An 18548-nucleotide genomic window follows, 5' to 3' on the forward strand; every position below is an offset into this window, starting at 1 on the left:
TCTTTGGATTTCTGTGGTCTCAGTTGTTATGTCTTTTTCATTTCTGATTATATTTATTTGAGTCTCCTATCATTTTTTCTTAGTTAGTCTGGCTAAATGTGTGTTGATTTTATCTTTTCAAAAATCCAACTTTTCATTTCATTTCATTGATCTTCTGCATTTTCTTAGTCATGATTTCATTTATTTGCCCTCTGATCTCCATAATTTCTTTCCTACTAACTTTTGGTTTTTTTCTTAATTTTCTAGATCCCCGAGCTTCATTTTTAAGTTATTTAAGTCGTTCTACTATTTTGATGTAGGTATTTATTGATATAAAATTCCCTCTTGACACTGCTTTCACTGTATCCCATAGATTTTAGTATGCTGTATTTCCATTTTCATTTGTTTCAAGAAACGTTTTAATTGCCTTCTTAATTTCTTCATTGACCTGGCCCTTTTATCATTATATAATGACCTTCTTTGTCTCTTGTGACAGTTTTTTACTTAATGTCTGTTTTGCCTGATATAAAGAGAGGCACTCTTGCTCTACTTTGTTTAGTATTTGCATGGATTATACTTTCCAACGCTTCCCATTCAATGTATGTGTGTCCTTAAACCTAAAGTGTGCCTCTAGTAGGCAGCATATACTTGGATCTTGGTTTGTGGTTTTTTGTTTCAATCATTCAGCCACTATATGTGTTTTGGTTGAAGAATTTAATACTCTTACATTTAAAGTAATCATTGATAGGTAAGAATATACTATTGCTATTTTGCTGATTTTTTTCTGGTTGTTTTGTAGAATCCATTGTTTCTTTCTCTCTTGCTGTCTTTCTTTTTGATTTGATGATTTTTTGCAGTGCTATGCTTCGAATCCTTTTGCTTTATATTGTGTACATCTGTTTACCTTTGTAGTTATCATGAGGCTTACATAAAATGTCTGAAGTTATAACAGTTTATTTTAAGCTAATAAGAACATAACTTCAACTGCATATAAAAATTCAATATTTTAAGTTATCCTACCCCCACATTTTATATTATTGATGTTATATAACTTTGTAATTTTTTTATTTGACTTTAAGTTCTGGGATACATGTGCAGAACGTGCAGGTTTGATACATGCCTTAGTGGTTTGCTGCACTGATCAACCCATCATCTAGTTTTAAAGCCCCACATGCATTAGCTATTTGTCCTGATTCTCTCCCTCCCCCTGTGCTCTATCCCCAGACAGGCCCCAGTGTGTGTTTTTCCCCTCCCTATGTCCATGAGTTCTCATTGTTCAACTCCTGTTTATGAGTGAGAACATGAGGTGTTTTGTTTTCTGTTCCTGTGTTAGTTTAATGAAGATGATGGCTACCAGCTTCATCCAAGACCCGGCAAAGGTCATGTTCTCATTCCTTTTCAAGGCTGCATAGTATTCCATGGTGTATATGTGCCACATTTTTTTTATCCAGTCTATAATTGATTGGCATTTGGGTTGGTTCCATGTCTTTGCTATTGTAAATACTGCTGCAGTAAATATATGTGTGCATATGTCTTTATAATAGGATGATTTATATGCCTTTCGATATATAATCAGTAATGGGATTGTTGGGTCAAATAGTATTTCTGGTTCTAGATCCTTGAGGAATTGCCACACTGTCTCCCACAATGGTTAAACTAATTTACTTTCCCACCAACAGCGTAAAAGCATTCCTACTTTTCCACAGCCTCACCACCATCTGTTGTTTCTTGACTTTTTAATAATCACCATTCTGACTGGCATAAGATGGTATCTCATTGTAGTTTTGATTTTCATTTCTCTAATGATCAGTGATGTTGAGCTTTTTTCATATGTTTGTTGGCTGCATAAATGTCTTCTTTTGAGAAGTGTCTGTTCATACCCTTTGCCCACTTTTTGATGGGATTGTTTGTTTTTCTTGTAAATTTGTTTAAGTTCCTTGTAGATTCTGGATATTAGACCTTTGTCAGATGGGTAGATTACAACATTTTTCTCCTATTCTGTAGGTCGCCTGTTCACTCTGATGATAGTTTATTTTGCTGTGCAGAAGCTCTTTAGTTTAAATAGATCCCATTTGTCCGGCTTTTGTTTCAATTGCTTTTGGCATTTTCGTCATGAAATCTTTGTCCATGCCAAGGTCCTGAATGATATTGTCTAGGTTTTCTTCTATGGCTTTTATGGTTTGAAGTTTTACATTTAAGTGTCTAATCCATCTTGAGTTAATTTTTGTATAATGCATAAGGGGTCCAGTTTCAGTTTTCTGCATATGGCTAGCCAGTTTTCCCAGCACCACTTATTAAATAGGGAATCCTTTCCCCATTGCTTGTTTTTGTCAGGTTTGTCAAAGATGAGATGGTTGTAGATGTGTGGTGTGATTTCTGAGGTCTCTGTTCTGTTCCATTAGTCTATATGTCTGTTTTGGTACCAGTACCATGGTGTTTTGGTTTCTGTAGCCTTGCAGTATAGTGTGAAGTCAAGTAGCATGATGCCTCCAGCTTTGTTCTTTTTGCTTAGGATTGTCTTGGCTATACCAGCTCTTTTTTAGATCCACATGGAGTTTAAAGTAGTTTTTTCTAAATCTGTGAAGAATGTCAATGGTAGCTTGATGGGGATAGCACTGAATCTATAAATTACTTTGGGCAGTATGGCCATTTTCATGATATTGATTCTTCCTATCCATGAGGATGGGATGTTTTTCCATTTGTTTGTGTCCTCTCTTATTTCCTTGAGTGATGGTTTGTAGTTCTCATTAAAGAGGTCCCTCACATCCCTTGTTAACTGTATTCCTAGGTATTTTATTCTCTTTGTAGCAATTGTGAATGGGAGTTCATTCATGATTTGGCTCTCTGCCTATCTATTGTTGGTGTATAGAAATGCTTGTGATTTTTGCACACTGATTTTGTATCCTGAGACTTTGCTGAGGTTGCTTATCAGCTTAAGGAGTTTTGGGGTTGAGATGATAGGGTTTTCTAAATATACAAGCATGTCATCTTCAAAAAGAGACAATTTGACTTTCTCTCTTCCTATCTGAATACTCTTTAATTCTTTCTCTTGCCTGATGGCCCTGGCCAGAACTTCCAATACCACATTGAATAGGAGTGATGTGAGAGGGCATTTTTGTCTCATGCTGGTTTTTAAAGGGAATGCCTCCAACTTTTGCCCATTCAGTATGATACTGGCTGTTGGTTTGTTATAAATGGCTCTTATCATTTTGAGATATGTTCCATCAATACCTAGTTTATTGAGAGTTTTTAACATGAAGGGATATTGGATTTTATTGAATGTCTTTTCTGCATCTATTGAGATAATCGTGTGGTTTTTGTCATTGCTTCTGTTTATGTGATGGATTACATTTATTCATTTGCATATGTTAAAGCAGCCTTGCATCCCAGGGATGGAACCTACTTGTGGTGGATAAGCTTTTTGATGTGCTGCTGGATTCAGTTTGCCAGCATTTTATTGAGGGTTTTCGCATGAATGTTCTTCAAGGACATTGGCCTGAAGTTTTCTTTTTTGTTGTGTCTCCACCAGGTTTTGGTATCAGGGTGATGCTAGCCTCATAAAACAAGTTAGGGAGGAGTCCCTCCTTTTCAACTGTTTGGAATAGTTTCAGAAGGAATAGTACCAGCTCCTCTTTGTACCTCTGGTAGAATTCGGCTGTGAATCCATCTGGTCCTGGGCTTTTTTTTTTTTTTTTTTTTTTTTTTTTTGGTTAGTAGGCTATTAATTACTGCCTCAATTTCAGAACTTGTTATTGGTCTATTCAGGGATATGATTTCTTCATTGTTTAGTCTTGGGAGGGTATATGTGTCCAGGAATTTATCCATTTTTTCTAGATTTTCTAGTTTATTTGCACAGAGGTATTTATAGTATTCTCTGATGATTGTTTGTATTTCTGTGGGGTCAGTGGTGATATCCCCTTTATTATTTTTATTGTGTCTATTTCATTCTTCTCTCTTTTCTTCTTTATTAATGTAGCTAGTGGTCTATCTATTTTGTTAATTTTTTCAAAACAAACAGCTCCTGGATTCACTGATTTTTTTGAAGAGTTTTTCATGTCTCTATCTCTTTCAGTTCTGCTCTGATCTTAGTTATTTCTTGTCTTCTGCTAGCTTTTGGATTTGTTTGCTCTTGCTTCTCTAGGTGCTTTAGTTGTGATGTGAGGGTGTCGATTTGAGATCCTTCTATCTTTCCCTTGTGGGCATTTAGTGCTATAAATTTCCCTCTTAATACTGCTTTAGCTGTGTCCCAGAGATTCTGGTACATTGTCTCTTTGTTCTCATTAGTTTCAAAGAACTTCTTGATTTCTGCCTTAACTTCATTATTTACCCATGAGTCATTCAGGAGCAGGTTGTTCAATTTCCATGTAGTTGTGTGGTTCTGAGTGAGTTTCTTAATCCTGAGTTCTAATTTGACTACACTGTGGTCTGAGAGACTATTATTATCAGTCCTGAGTCAGTGGCTCTCAGGTGGGCTGCGGCAACACACTGCTCTTCCTTCCTCTTCATGGGTCATGCCAGCTGCCTAGTCAGTCCTGATGACAGAACCTGGATACCTCGGTTGCCAGTGCAAAATTCACCTGCTGTTTTGGTTTTTTTGGATGGGAGCCTCCCATCACCGCTGCTGCTTCTAGTCAGCCATCTTGGCCCTGTGCACATAACTGTTTATATTATGTATCATTAACAAATTGTTGTAGCTATTGTTAAATACTTTTAACCTCTATATTATTAGAGTTACAAGTGATGTATGCACTATCATTATAATATTCAAGTATTCTAACTTTGACTATATTCCTTATAGTCAATGTTATACTTTCATGTGTTGTCATATTTTTAGTTATTGCTTTCATTTCTCTTTGATGAAATCCCTCTAGTGTTTCTTGTAAGTCAGGTATAGTGGTGATGAACTCCCATAATTTTTGCTCACCTGGGAAATTATTTACCTTTCCTTTATTTCTGAAAGACAGCTTTGGAAGGTATAATATTCTTCGTTGACATTTTTTTTCTTTCAGCATTTAAAATATATCATCCCACTGTCTCCTGGCCTGCAAAGTTTCTGATGAAAAATCCACTGACCATGTTATGATTGTTCCCTAGTATGCAATCAGTTGTTTTTATCTTACTACTTTCAAATTCTCTTTGTTGTTTACGTTTAGGAATTTGATTATACAAGACTTAAAGGTAAGACCTAAAAGCATAAAAACCCAAGAAGAAAACCTAAGCAATACCATTCAGGACATAGGCATTGGCAAAGACTTCATGATTAAAACACCAAAAGTAATGGCAACAAAACCCAAAATAGACAAATGGGATCTAATTAAACTAAAGAGCTTCTGCACAGAAAAAGAAATTATCATCAGAGTGAACAGGCAGCCTACAGAATGGGAGAAAATTTTTGCAATATATCCATCTGAAAAAGGGCTAATATCCAGAATCTACAAAGAATTTAAACAAATTTACAAGAAAAAAACAAACAACTCCATCAAAAAGTGGGCAAATGATATGAATAGACACTTCTCAAAAGAAGACATTTATGCGGCCAACAAACATAGGAAAAAAAGTTCATTATCAGTGGTCATTACAGAAATGCAAATCAAAACCACAATGAGATACCATCTCATGCCAGTTGGAATGGCAATCATTAAAGAGTCAGGAAACAACAGATGCTGGAGAGGATGTGGAGAAATAGGAACATTTTACACTGCTGGTGGGAGTGTAAATTAGTTCAACCATTGTGGAAGACAGTGTGGCAATTCCTCAAAGATCTAGAACCAGAAATACTATATGACCCAGCAATTCCATTACTGGGTATATACTCAAAGGATTATAAATCATTCTACTATAAAGACACATGCACACATATGTTTATTGCGGCATTGTTCACAATAGCAAAGACTTGGAACCAACCCAAATGTCCATCAATGACAAACTGGATAAAGAAAATGTGGCACATATACACCATGGAATACTATGCAGCCATAAAGAAGGATGAGTTCATGTCCTTTGCAGGGACATGGATGAAGCTGGAAACCATTATTCTCAGCAAACTAACACAAGGACAGAAAACCAAACATCGCATGTTTTCACTCAGAAGTGGGAGATGAACAATGAGAACACATGGACACAGGGAGGGGAACATCACACTCCAGGGCCTGTGTGGGGGTGGAAGGCTAGGGGAGGGATAGCATTAGGAGAAATACTTAATGTAGATGAGGGGTTGATGGGTGCAGCAAACCACCATGGCTCATGTATACCTCTGTAACAAACCTGCACGCTCTGCACATGTATCCCAGAACTTAAAGTACAACTAAAAACAGAAAGAATTTGATTATAATGTTTTTGGTGACTATCCATTTGTGTTTAATCTATTTTAGGCTATTTGAGCTTCATGGATCTGGATGTTTGTGTTCCTTTCCAAATTCAGGAATTCTTCTGTAGTTATGTTTTTAAGTAGTTTTCTGTCCCATTCTTTTTCTATGCTCCTCTGGAACTTCATTATTCATATATTGTTCTGTTTGATTGTATCCCACAGGCTTTCTTTACTCTTTTTCATTTTTTCTTTTTGTTTCTCTAACTGGGTAATTTCAAATAACCTGTCTTTGAGTTCACTGATTTTTGTCTCCTGCTAGATCAAGTCTGCCATTAGAGTTCTCTGTGGAATTTTTTAGTTCAGTCATTGTGTCCTTCAGCTCCACAATTTCTGTTTGGTTTTATTTTATACATTCTATCTTCTTGTTGAACTTCTCATTTTCTTCATGTATTGTTTTCCTGATTTTGTTTACTTGCCCATCTGTGTTCTCTTGTAGCTCACTAAGCTTCTTTAACACAATGGTTCTTTGTCAGGCTATTCATAGATCTCCATTTCATTAGGGTTAGTTCCTGAAGCTTTATTTTATTCTTTTAGTGGTATGACTTTTTCCTGATTTTTCATAATTGCTGTCTTTCATTGGTGTCTGTGCATTTGAAGGAACAGGCTCTTATTCTACTCTTTACAAACAAGCTTCAGCAGGGAACATCCATCATTACTCAGCCCACCAAGATATTCAGTTGGTAGGCAAACTGGTGAGGTCCACAGGTCAGGTAGGCTTACTGCTGAATCCTTGGTCAGGTTGGCCAGGTTCCTGAGTCAGTGGGCAGGTAGGCCTGTTGCCTGTGTCCACAGGTGCTAGCCTGAAGCCTGAGTCTGCAGGGGCTGGCCTAGCACTTTGTTGGACCTGGAGCCTGAATCTGCAAGGGCCAGACTGGTACCTCAGTCTACTGAGGATGGCTTGGTGTTAGGACAGGCCTAGAGCGTGGATCTGCAAGTACCGGCTTTTTGCCTGGGTCTTCAGTGGCCATACTAGAGTCTGTAGCCATCACTGCTACAGACAGTGCTACAGACAAAAGTTACTTGCCTGTAAGGGCAGTACTGGAGCCTGTACCCACTGATGTTGGCCTGAAGCCTGGATCTGCCAGGGTGACCTGGTGCTATGACAAGCTTGAAGTGTAGGTTTGTTGGGTACATCCTGGCACTGGGGTTTACTGGGTTGGGCCTGGTGACATGACTATGAGGCAAAGTGAGGTCCTTACTTCATCTTCCTTTCCCAACACATTTCTCTGCACTATCCTGCTCAGGTTGGGGTGAGGGGTTATGCCAGTAATGTGAAACTGTCCTTCCTACCCTCTTTAATGCATCTTTTCTTATTTATGTGCTCCATGTAGATACTGTAAACTCTTATCTGGAAACCTTAGCGCTTGTGAACATATTTTTATGCACAGATGGTTGTTTCAACTGATGTTTCTGTGAAGGTGATATGGTTTGGCTCTGTCCCTACCCAAATCTCATCTCAAATTGTAATTCTCACATGTTGAGGGAGGACCTGGTGGGAGGAGACTGGATCATGGTGGTGGTTTCCCCCATGCTATTCTCATGATAGTGAGGGAGTTCTCATGATATCTGATGGTTTTAAAAGTGGCAGTTTAGCCTGCATTCATTCATTCTCTCTCTCTCTCTCCTGCTACCTTGTGAAGAAAATACTTGCTTCTCTTCCACCTTCTGCCATGATTGTAAGTTTCCTGAGGCCTCCCTAGCCATGTGGGACTGTGAGTCAGTTAAACTTCTTTTCTTTTTCTTTTTTATTTTATTTTATTATTATTATACTTTAAGTTTTAGGGTACATGTGCACAATGTGCAGGTTTGTTACATATGTATACATGTGCCATGTTGGTGTACTCACCCAATAACTCATCATTTAGCATTAGGTATATTTCCTAATGCTATCCCTCCCCCCATCCCCACCCCACAACAGTCCCCAGAGTGTGATGTTCCCCTTCCTGTGTCCATGTGTTCTCATTATTCAATTCCCACCTATGAGGGAGAACATGCGGTGTTTGGTTTTTTGTCCTTGTGATAGTTTGCTGAGAATGATGATTTCCAGTTTCATCCATGTCCCTACAAAGGACATGAACTCATCATTTTTTATGGCTGCATAGTATTCCATGGTGTATATGTGCCAGATTTTCTTAATCCAGTCTATCATTGTTGGACATTTGGGTTGGTTCCAAGTCTTTGCGATTGTGAGTAGTGCCACAATAAACATACGTGTGCATGTGTCTTTATAGCAGCATGATTTATAATCCTTTGGGTACATACCCAGTAATGGGATGGCTGGGTCAAATGGTATTTCTAGATCTAGATCCCTGAGGAATCACCACACTGACTTCCACAATGGTTGAACTAGTTTATAGTCCCACCAACAGTGTAAAAGTGTTCCTATTTCTCCACATCCTCTCCAGCACCTATTGTTTCCTGACTTTTGAATGACTGCCATTCTAAATGGTGTGAGATGGTATCTCATTGTGGTTTTGATTTGCATTTCCCTGATGGCCAGTGATGATGAGCATTTTTTCATGTGTTTTTTGGCTGCATAAATGTCTTCTTTTGAGAAGTGTCTTTTCATATCCTTTGCCCACTTTTTGATGGGGTTGTTTGTTTTTTTTTTGTAAATTTGTTTGAGTTCATTGTAGATTCTGCATATTAGCCCTTTGTCAGATGAGTAGGTTGCGAAAATTTTCTCCCAATTTCTAGGTTGCCTGTTCACTCTGATGGTAGTTTCTTTTGCTGTGCAGAAGCTCTTTAGTTTAATGATATCCCATTTGTCAATTTTGGCTTTTGTTGCCATTGCTTTTGGTGTTTTAGACATGAAGTCCTTGCCCATGCCGATGTCCTGAATGGTATTGCCTAGGTTTTCTTCTAGACTTTTTATGGTTTTAGGTCTAACATGTAAGTCTTTAATCCATCTTGAATTAATTTTTGTATAAGGTGTAAGGAAGGGATCCAGTTTCAGCTTTCTACATATGGCTAGCCAGGTGCCAGCACCATTTATTAAATAGGGAATCCCTTTCCCATTGCTTGTTTTTGTCAGGTTTGTCAAAGATCAGGTAGTTGTAGATACGCAGCATTATTTCTGAGGGCTCTGTTCTGTTCCATTGATCTATATCTCTGTTTTGTTACCAGTACCATGATGTTTTGGTTACTGTAACCTTGTAGTATAGTTTGAAGTCAGGTAGCATGATGCCTCCGGGTTTATTCTTTTGGCTTAGGATTGACTTGGCGATGCGGGCTCTTTTTTGGTTCCATATGAACTTTAAAGTAGTTTTTTCCAATTCTGTGAAGAAAGGCATTGGTAGCTTGATGGGGATGGCATTGAATGTATAAATTACCTTGGGCAGTACGGCCATTTTCACAATATTGATTCTTCCAACCAATGAGCACGGAATATTCTTCCATTTGTTTGTATCCTCTTTTATTTCATTGAGCAGTGGTTTGTAGTTCTCCTTGAAGAGGTCCTTCACGTCCCTCGTAAGGTGGATTCCTAGGTATTTTATTCTCTTTGAAGCAATTGTGAATGGGAGTTCACTCATGATTTGGCTCTCTGTTTGTCTGTTGTTGGTGTATAAGAATGTTTGTGATTTTTTTACATTGATTTTGTATCCTGAGACTTTGCTGAAGTTGCTTATCAGCTTAAGGAGATTTTGGGCTGAGACAATGGGGTTTTCTAGATATACAATCATGTCGTCTGCAAACAGGGACAATTTGACTTCCTCTTTTCCTAATTGAATACCCTTTATTTCCTTCTCCTGCCTAATTGCCCTGGCCAGAACTTCCAACAGTATGTTGAATAGGAGTGGTGAGAGAGGGCATCCCTGTCTTGTGCCAGTTTTCAAAGGGAATGCTTCCAGTTTTTGCCCATTCAGTATGAGATTGGCTGTGGGTTTGTCATAGATAGCTCTTATTATTTTGAGATATGTCCCATCAATACCTAATTTATTGAGAGTTTTTAGCATGAAGGGTTGTTGAATTTTGTCAAAGGCCTTTTCTGCATCTATTGAGATAATCATGTGGTTTTTGTCTTTGGTTCTGTTCATATGCTGGATTACATTTATTGATTTGCATATATTGAACCAGCCTTGCATCCCAGGGATGAAGCCCACTTGATCATGGTGGATAAGCTTTTTGATGTGCTGCTGGATTCGGTTTGCCAGTATTTTATTGAGGATTTTTGCCTCAATGTTCATCAAGGATATTGGTCTAAAATTCTCTTTTTTGGTTGTATCTCTGCCCGGCTTTGGTATCAGGATGATACTGGCCTGATAAAATGAGTTAGCGAGGATTCCCTCTTTTTCTATTGATAGGAATAGTTTCAGAAGGAATGGTACCAGCTCCTCCTTGTACCTCTGGTAGAACTCGGCTGTGAATCCATCTGGTCCTGGACTCTTTTTGGTTGGTAAGCTACTGATTATTCCCACAATTTCAGATCCTGTTATTGGTCTATTCAGAGATTCAACTTCTTCCTGGTTTAGTCTTAGGAAGGTGTATGTGTCCAGGAATTTATCCATTTCTTCAAGATTTTCTAGTTTATTTGTGTAGAGGTGTTTGTAGTATTCTCTGATGGTAGTTTGTATTTCTGTGGGATTGGTGGTGATATCCCCTTTATCATTTTTTATTGCGTCTATTTGATTCTTCTCTCTTTTCTTCTTTATTAGTCTTGCTAGCAGTCTATCAGTTTTGTTGATCTTTTCAAAAAACCAGCTCCTGGATTCATTAATTCTTTGAAGGGTTTTTTGTGTCTTTGTTTAATTCAGTTCTGCTCTGATTTTAGTTATTTCTTGCCTTCTGCTAGCTTTTGAATGTGCTTGCTCTTGCTTTTCTAGTTCTTTTAATTATGATGTTAGGGTGTCAATTTTAGATCTTTCCTGCTTTCTCTTGTGGGCATTTAGTGCTATAAATTTCCCTCTACACACTGCTTTGAATGTGTCTCAGAGATTCTGGTATGTTGTGTCTTTGTTCTCATTGATTTCAAAGAACATCTTCATTTCTGCCTTCATTTTGTTATTTACCCAGTAGTCATTCAGGAGCAGGTTGTTCAGTTTCCATGTAGTTGAGCGGTTTTGAGTGAGTTTCTTAATCCTGAGTTCTAGTTTGATTGCACTGTGGTCTGAGAGACAGTTCGTTATAATTTCTGTTCTTTTACATTTGCTGAGGAGTGCTTTACTTCCAACTATGTGGTCAATTTTGGAATAGGTGTGGTGTGATGCTGAAAAATGTATATTCTGTTGATTTGGGGTGGAGAGTTCTGTAGATGTCTATTAGGTCTGCTTGGTGCAGAGCTGAGTTTAATTCCTGGGTATCCTTGTTAACTTTCTGTCTCATTGATCGGTCTAATGTTGACAGTGGGGTCTTAAAGTCTCCCATTATTATTGTGTGGGAGTCTAAGTCTCTTTGTAGGTCACTCAGGACTTGCTTTATGAATCTGGGTGCTCCTGTATTGGGTGCATATATATTTAGGATAGTTAGCTCTTCTTGTTGAATTGATCCCTTTACCATTATGTAATGGCCTTCTTTGTCTCTTTTGATCTTTGTTGGTTTAAAGTCTCTTTTATCAGAGACTAGGATTGCAACCCCTGCCTTTTTTTGTTTTCCATTTGCTTGGTAGATCTTCCTCCATCCCTTTATTCTGAGCCTATGTGTGTCTCTGCACCTGAGATGGGTTTCCTGAATACAACACACTGATGGGTCTTGACTCTTTATCCAATTTGCCAGTCTGTGTCTTTTAATTGGAGCATATAGCCCATTTACATTTAAAGTTAATATTGTTATGTGTGAATTTGATCCTGTCATTATGATGTTAGCTGGTTATTTTGCTTGTTAGTTGATGCAGTTTCTTCCTAGCCTTGATGGTCTTTACAATTTGGCATGTTTTTGCAGTGGCTGGTACTGGTTGTTCCTTTCCATGTTTAGTGCTTCCTTCAGGGGCTCTTTTAGGGCAGGTCTGGTGGTGACAAAATCTCTCAGCATTTGCTTGTCTGTAAAGTATTTTATTTCTCCTTCACTTATGAAGCTTAGTTTGGCTGGATATGAAATTCTGGGTTGAAAATTCTTTTCTTTAAGAATGTTGAATATTGGCCCCCACTCTCTTCTGGCTTGTAGAGTTTCTGCCAAGAGATCCACTGTTAGTCTGATGGGCTTCCCTTTGTGGGTAACGTGACCTTTCTCTCTGGCTGCCCCTAACATTTTTTCCTTCATTTCAACTTTGGTGAATCTGACAATTATGTGTCTTGGAGTTGCTCTTCTCGAGGAGTATCTTTGTGGCGTTCTCTGTATTTCCTGAATCTGAATGTTGGCCTGCCTTGCTAGATTGGGGAAGTTCTCCTGGATAATATCCTGCAGAGTGTTTTCCAACTTGGTTCCATTTTCCCCATCACTTTCAGGTACATCAATCAGACGTAGATTTGGTCTTTTCACATAGTCCCATATTTCTTGGAGACTTTGTCCGTTTCTTTTTATTCTTTTTTCTCTAAACTTCCCTTCTTGCTTCATTTCATTCATTTCATCTTCCATCACTGATACCCTTTCTTCCAGTTGATCGCATCGGCTCCTGAGGCTTCTGCATTCTTCACGTAGTTCTCGAGCGTTGGCTTTCAGCTCCATCAGCTCCTTTAAGCACTTCTCTGCATTGGGTATTCTAGTTATACATTCATCTAATTTTTTTCCAAGTTTTTAACTTCTTTGCCATTGGTTTGAATTTCCTCCTGTAGCTCGGAGTAGTTTGATCTTCTGAAGCCTTCTTCTCTCAACTCATCAAAGTCACTCTCCATCCAGCTTTGTTCTGTTACTGGTGAGGAACTGCATTCCTTTGGAGGAGGAGAGGAGCTCTGCTTTTTTGAGTTTCCAGTTTTTCTGCTCTGTTTTTTCGCCATCTTTGTGGTTTCATCTACTTTTGGTCTTTGATGATGGTGAAGTACAGATGTGTTTTTGGGGTGGATGTCCTTTCTGTTTGTTAGTTTTCCTTCTAACAGACAGGACCCTCAGCTGCAGGTCTGTTGGAGTTTGCTGGAGGTCCACTCCAGACCCTGTTTGCCTGGGTATCAGCAGCGGTGGCTGCAGAACAGCGATGACTGTAGAACAGCGGATTTTCGTGAACCGCAAATGTTGCTGCCTGATCAGTCCTCTGGAAGTTTTGTCTCAGAGGAGTACTTGGCCGTGTGAGGTGTCAATCTGCCCCTACTGGGGGTGCCTCCCAGTTAGGCTGCTCAGGGGTCAGGGAACCACTTGAGGAGACAGTCTGCCCGTTCTCAGATCTCCAGCTGCGTGCTGGGGGAACCACTATTCTCTTTAAAGCTGTCAGACGGGGACATTTAAGTCTGCAGAGGTTACTGCTGTCTTTTTGTTTGTCTGTGCCCTGCCCCCAGAGGTGGAGCCTACAGAGGCAGGCAGGCCTCCTTGAGCTGTGGTGGGCTCCACCCAGTTCGAGCTTTCTGGCTGCTTTGTTTACCTAAGCAAGCCTGGGCAATGGCGGGCACCCCTCCCCCAGCCTTGCTGCCACCTTGCAGTTTGATCTCAGACTGCTGTGCTAGCAATCAGTGAGACTCCATGGTTGTAGGACCCTCCGAGCCATGTGCAGGATATAATCTCCTGGTGTGCCGTTTTTTAAGCCCGTTGGAAAAGCGCAGTATTAGGGTGGGAGTGACCAGATTTTCCAGGTGCCGTCTGTCACCCCTTTCTTTGACTAGCAAAGGGAACTCCCTGACCCCTTGTGCTTCCCGAGTGAGGCAATGCCTCACCCTGCTTCGGCCTGCGCACAGTTCGCTGCACCCACTGTCCTGCACCCACTGTCTGGCACTCCCTAGTGAGATGAACCTGGTACCTCAGATGGAAATGCAGAAATCACCTGTCTTCTGTGTCACTCACGCTGGGAGCTGTAGACCGGAGCTGTTCCTATTCAGCCATCTTGGCTCCTTACCAACTTCTTTCCTTTATAAATTACCTAGTTTCATGTAGTATCTTTATAGCACTGTGAAAACAGACTAATACAGAGGAGTGTGCATTGGAAACTCCTATTCTCCCATCATGCTATCATCATTCCTCTTGTCTAGTAGTTTCACTGCTGATTATCAAATGTTTTCCATGAACAAATCAGAGTGTGGATAGCTACCCAACTGGAACACCTATTATTTACATAACACCCTTCCATAACATTAATAGGTCACTGCTGATCTCAATGAAAGTTTTCAAATCCATATGTCCTATAAAATTAAATCAACGAAACACCATTTCTCCCATTGCTTGTGTTTTCAATGATAAATATAACCAAATGTTGCCAAAGTCATCTCCACATATATATGTAGCACACATAAGCAAGGGTTAATTTATACTCTGAATTAGTATTTTAATACAAGAATAAACCAAAGTATCTACACATTTTTGTACAGATATTTGACATATTTGTAAATGCTATTGTAAACATATGCCACTGATATTATATAACATTTGATAGCATCATTTCATGACAGAATTTTACTTTCACTGTGCTTTCTCTCAATATAATTACTTTCACTGGCTTTTCAGTTTGTTTTACAAGAATATCCAGAAGAAATGCATTTGGCCACAAATATCAACAAACCCAATACTGTTTTTAAAAATAAAGTTTTATTTGTATTATAAAGCAAGAAGTCCAGAAATAGGCTATGTAAATATTAATTCAAGACTCAACAATGTCAAAACTCAGGTCTTTAGGATTCTCTTGAACATCTTTTCTTTTTGCTATATCATGGTCATAAAATGACTACTGCAAATGTAATTACCCCCATCTGTATTCCAAAAGGTATAAGAATAAAAATGGGGAGGATAGCAAAAAGGCTCTCCTTTATTATCAAGGATTACTTTAGTTTACTCTTTAAGAGTATTCACTTGCAGTTCAAGTGAATTTAAGGATTAATTAATACAGCTGGCAAGTAATTTATACAACAACTACTGGAAATGTATATCTCCTCGTAAGGAAAGTATCAAACCTTTTTTACTTGTATAAAGAATAGCTTTGCTTTGTTAGGTGGAAACAGAGTTGTTTCGTTGTTGTGTAAAAGGAAACAGAAGCTGACTAATAAAAGGAGTGTATTGGCTGTGGCCCTTTCCACCCCCTAGTGCTGCTGGGCCTGCAGGCCTTTGTTCCACAGTTTGTTAAAGTTGTTAAGAATAAGGCCTGCTTTAAGAGATACCAAGTGAAATTTAGAAGACGAGGAAAGGGTAAAACTGAATACCATGCTTGGAAACACTTAGTGATACAGGATAAAAATAAATATAAAACACCCAAATACAGGATGATAGTTCGTGTAACAAACAGAGATATCATTTGTCAGATTGCTTATGCCCATATAGACAGGGATATAATAGTCTGTGCAGCATATGCACACGAACTGCCAAAATATGGTATGAAGGATGGCCTAACAAATTATGTTGCAGCGTATTGTACTGGCCTCCTGCTGGCCTGCAGGCTACTCAATAGGTTTGGCATGGACAAGATCTATGAAGGCCAAGTGGAGGTGACTGGCGATGAATACAATGTGGAAAGCATTGATGGTCCGCCGGGTGCCTTTACCTGCTATTTGGATGCAGGCCTTGCCAGAACTACCACTGGCAATAAAGTTTTTGGCACCCTGAAGGGAGCTGTGGATGGAGGCTTGTCTATCCCTCACAGTACCAAATGATTCCCTGGTTATGATTCTGAAAGCAAGGAATTTATGTAGAACTACACAGGAAGCACATTGTGGGCCAGAATGTTGCAGAATGTTGCAGATTACATGTAAGATGAAGATAATTACAAGAAACAGTTCTCTCAATACATAAAGAACAGAGTAACTCCAGACATGATGGAGATGTATAGGAAAGCTCATGCTGCTATACGAGAGAATCCAGTCTATGAAAAGAAGCCCAAGAAAGAAGTTAAAAAGAGGTGGAATCGTCCCAAAATGTCCCTTGCTCAGAAGAAAGATCGGGTAGCTCAAAAGAAAGCAAGCCCCCTCAAGAGCTCAGGAGTGGGCTGCTGAGAGCTAAACCAAACAATTTTCTATGAAGATTTTCAGATAAAGACAATAAAAGTATGGACAGAAAAAAAAATGGAGTGTACCGTGTTAGTTACCGATTTATTCCTCTGCCTCGACATTTATCCTCTTTGGCCTAGGTTTTACTGGATCTGGACCCTGTACAAATTTCTTTTGCCAGCTTGTCTAATATTAGTTGGCAAGAGAGGGCACCAGATGGACATTGTATGTCATGGTAAAGGAAGGGGTTTCACTTCCTAATTCTAGTGTATTTTCTTCCTTCTGTGGTGTGCCTGCTAGTGACATGCTGGAGGCCCATTGAGTTTCTCAGGAACCCTCAAGGACAGCTTCCTGTAGACAAGCCCCAATCTGCCATTACTTCAGTTGATAACTACATACAGATAAACTCCGGTCCACTGACTCCAGTGAACTTCTTTGCCACCCAGTGAACCATAGCTATGCCCTCTCCAGTGAGATCTCAATCTTAGGAGCGGGAGGTGATTCTTCCAAGTTCTTAGTGTATTTCTTGCCCTTCTCTCTCTCTCTTTCTCATTCTCTTTACCCAATCCCACTAAAGACAGTACATTTGTAGAGGCTTCCTACATAAGCTGTTTTAGTATAGAGTCTAGTTTTCCATTATAAGTAGTTGACCATTTTTAACTAATTTTTAAATATTAAATTATCAACATTCACATTATTGGTGTGCTTTCTATCTCTTGCCTGAATCTTATCAGATACACAAGGAACATTCACCAGGTTGTGCCCTCTGGACCACATGAGTCTGTCAAACTTATCAGGCAGATTCTCAGACTGGTAAGATGCAGACGGCTCTTCCTTTGAAAATGGCCAATGTTCCCAGGGGAAAGGCAATTCCAAAGACAAGAGGTATTTGTTTCTATTACTCTTCTAATAAATACCACAAATTTAGTAGCTTAAAATAACATACATTTATTAACTTAATCACATTGGAAAGTCTCTTTTACCATGTCAAATAACATATGCACAAGTTCCAGGGATTAGGATATGAACATCGTTAGGGGGATATAATTCTACCACAGTAAGCAGTCTAGCCCACAAAGATTCATTCATCTCACATTCAATGCATTCATCCCATCCTAATATTCCCAAGAGTCTTAACTCATTACAACAGCAGCTCAAAGTCTGAAATCTAATCTAAATCTCATCAGCTCAAAGAACCCAAATTCACATCATCTGAAAAATAAAAATCAGATATGGATGAAATTCTGGATATGATCCATCTAGGGCAAAATTCATCTCCATCTGTAGACTTGCAAAACTAGAAAACAAGTTAACAGCTGTCAAAATACAAGATGGAATAAGTGTAGAACACCAGACAAACATTTCCATTCAAAAAAGAAAAATGGGAAGAAAAAAGAAATCAGCCATCTCAAGCAATCTCAAAACCCTGTAAGGAAAACTCCATTGAGTTTCAAGGCCTAGGAATAACCTGTGTGGTTCACAGCTTCACCCTCAGAGAATAGGATGGCTCTGACTTTGGAGTCAATCTTCCTTTTTCATGAAGAATAGCATTGCTTTCAGCATAAGTAGTTTTATCAGCCTGCTTCCTGCCTTTAGAATTCCAGAGTCTCAATAGTCTTCCTTCATGTATCCTTCTTTCTGTCCCTTTCAGTCCAAGCTGGCAGTGCTGCTATTGATATAAAATCTCATGAACATTTTGAGTCTCCTACATCTGTCATGGGAATTCACTCCACACAACAGCTCCTCTACAGGTCTTTCCTAGATAATGCAGGTCTATTTTTGGCCTCTTCAGAGATGGCTGAAGGGATCCATGAGTCATACACCTGATTTCTTCAAAGAGCTTCTGTGTGACTGAATACTCTGGCTCTAGATCCTTCCAAGGCACTAGCAAAAGATAATTCAACCACAACCTCAGTTTTCTCCCCAGAACTCGCTTTCCTGAAAGTGAATCTTCGAATTTGAGTGTCTTTTTCAAATTGGATAGGTTGGAAATTTCCCGCATCATCAAGTCCTGGTTTCTTTTGGCTTAACAGTTCTTCCTTCAATTTGTGCTTTTCCTGTCACATTTTACTATAAGCAGAAAGAAGAAACCTCAGCACACCTTCAACACTTGGCAGTCTCCTTATCCAAATCCAAGGACATTCCTTACAAAGTCTAGTTTCCACATAATTATGTAGGACACAATTTAGCTACACTTTCTACCACTCTATAACAAG

The 18548-nt window shown here is 39.1% G+C and overlaps 1 protein-coding gene and 1 pseudogene across 7 annotated transcripts in view, besides 1 other annotated feature; one reads left to right on the forward strand and one right to left on the reverse strand.

The window, feature by feature from the left end:
• Positions 1 to 18548, reverse strand: part of STPG2 (sperm tail PG-rich repeat containing 2) — a 702228-nt gene that overhangs the window by 568674 nt on the left and 115006 nt on the right. The gene's annotated exons all lie outside the window — the stretch shown is intronic.
• Positions 13868 to 14367: an enhancer, noted in NCBI's record as "H3K4me1 hESC enhancer chr4:98944941-98945440 (GRCh37/hg19 assembly coordinates)". NCBI's record gives its function as "activates a minimal SCP1, AML or CMV promoter by ChIP-STARR-seq in naive H9 embryonic stem cells {active_cell/tissue: H9 hESC(naive)}" and the evidence as "EXISTENCE:reporter gene assay evidence [ECO:0000049][PMID:30033119]".
• Positions 15421 to 16402, forward strand: RPL5P12 (ribosomal protein L5 pseudogene 12; annotated as a pseudogene).

Source organism: Homo sapiens, chromosome 4 (assembly GCF_000001405.40).
Source record: "Homo sapiens chromosome 4, GRCh38.p14 Primary Assembly".
NCBI classification, from domain to species: domain Eukaryota; kingdom Metazoa; phylum Chordata; class Mammalia; order Primates; family Hominidae; genus Homo; species Homo sapiens.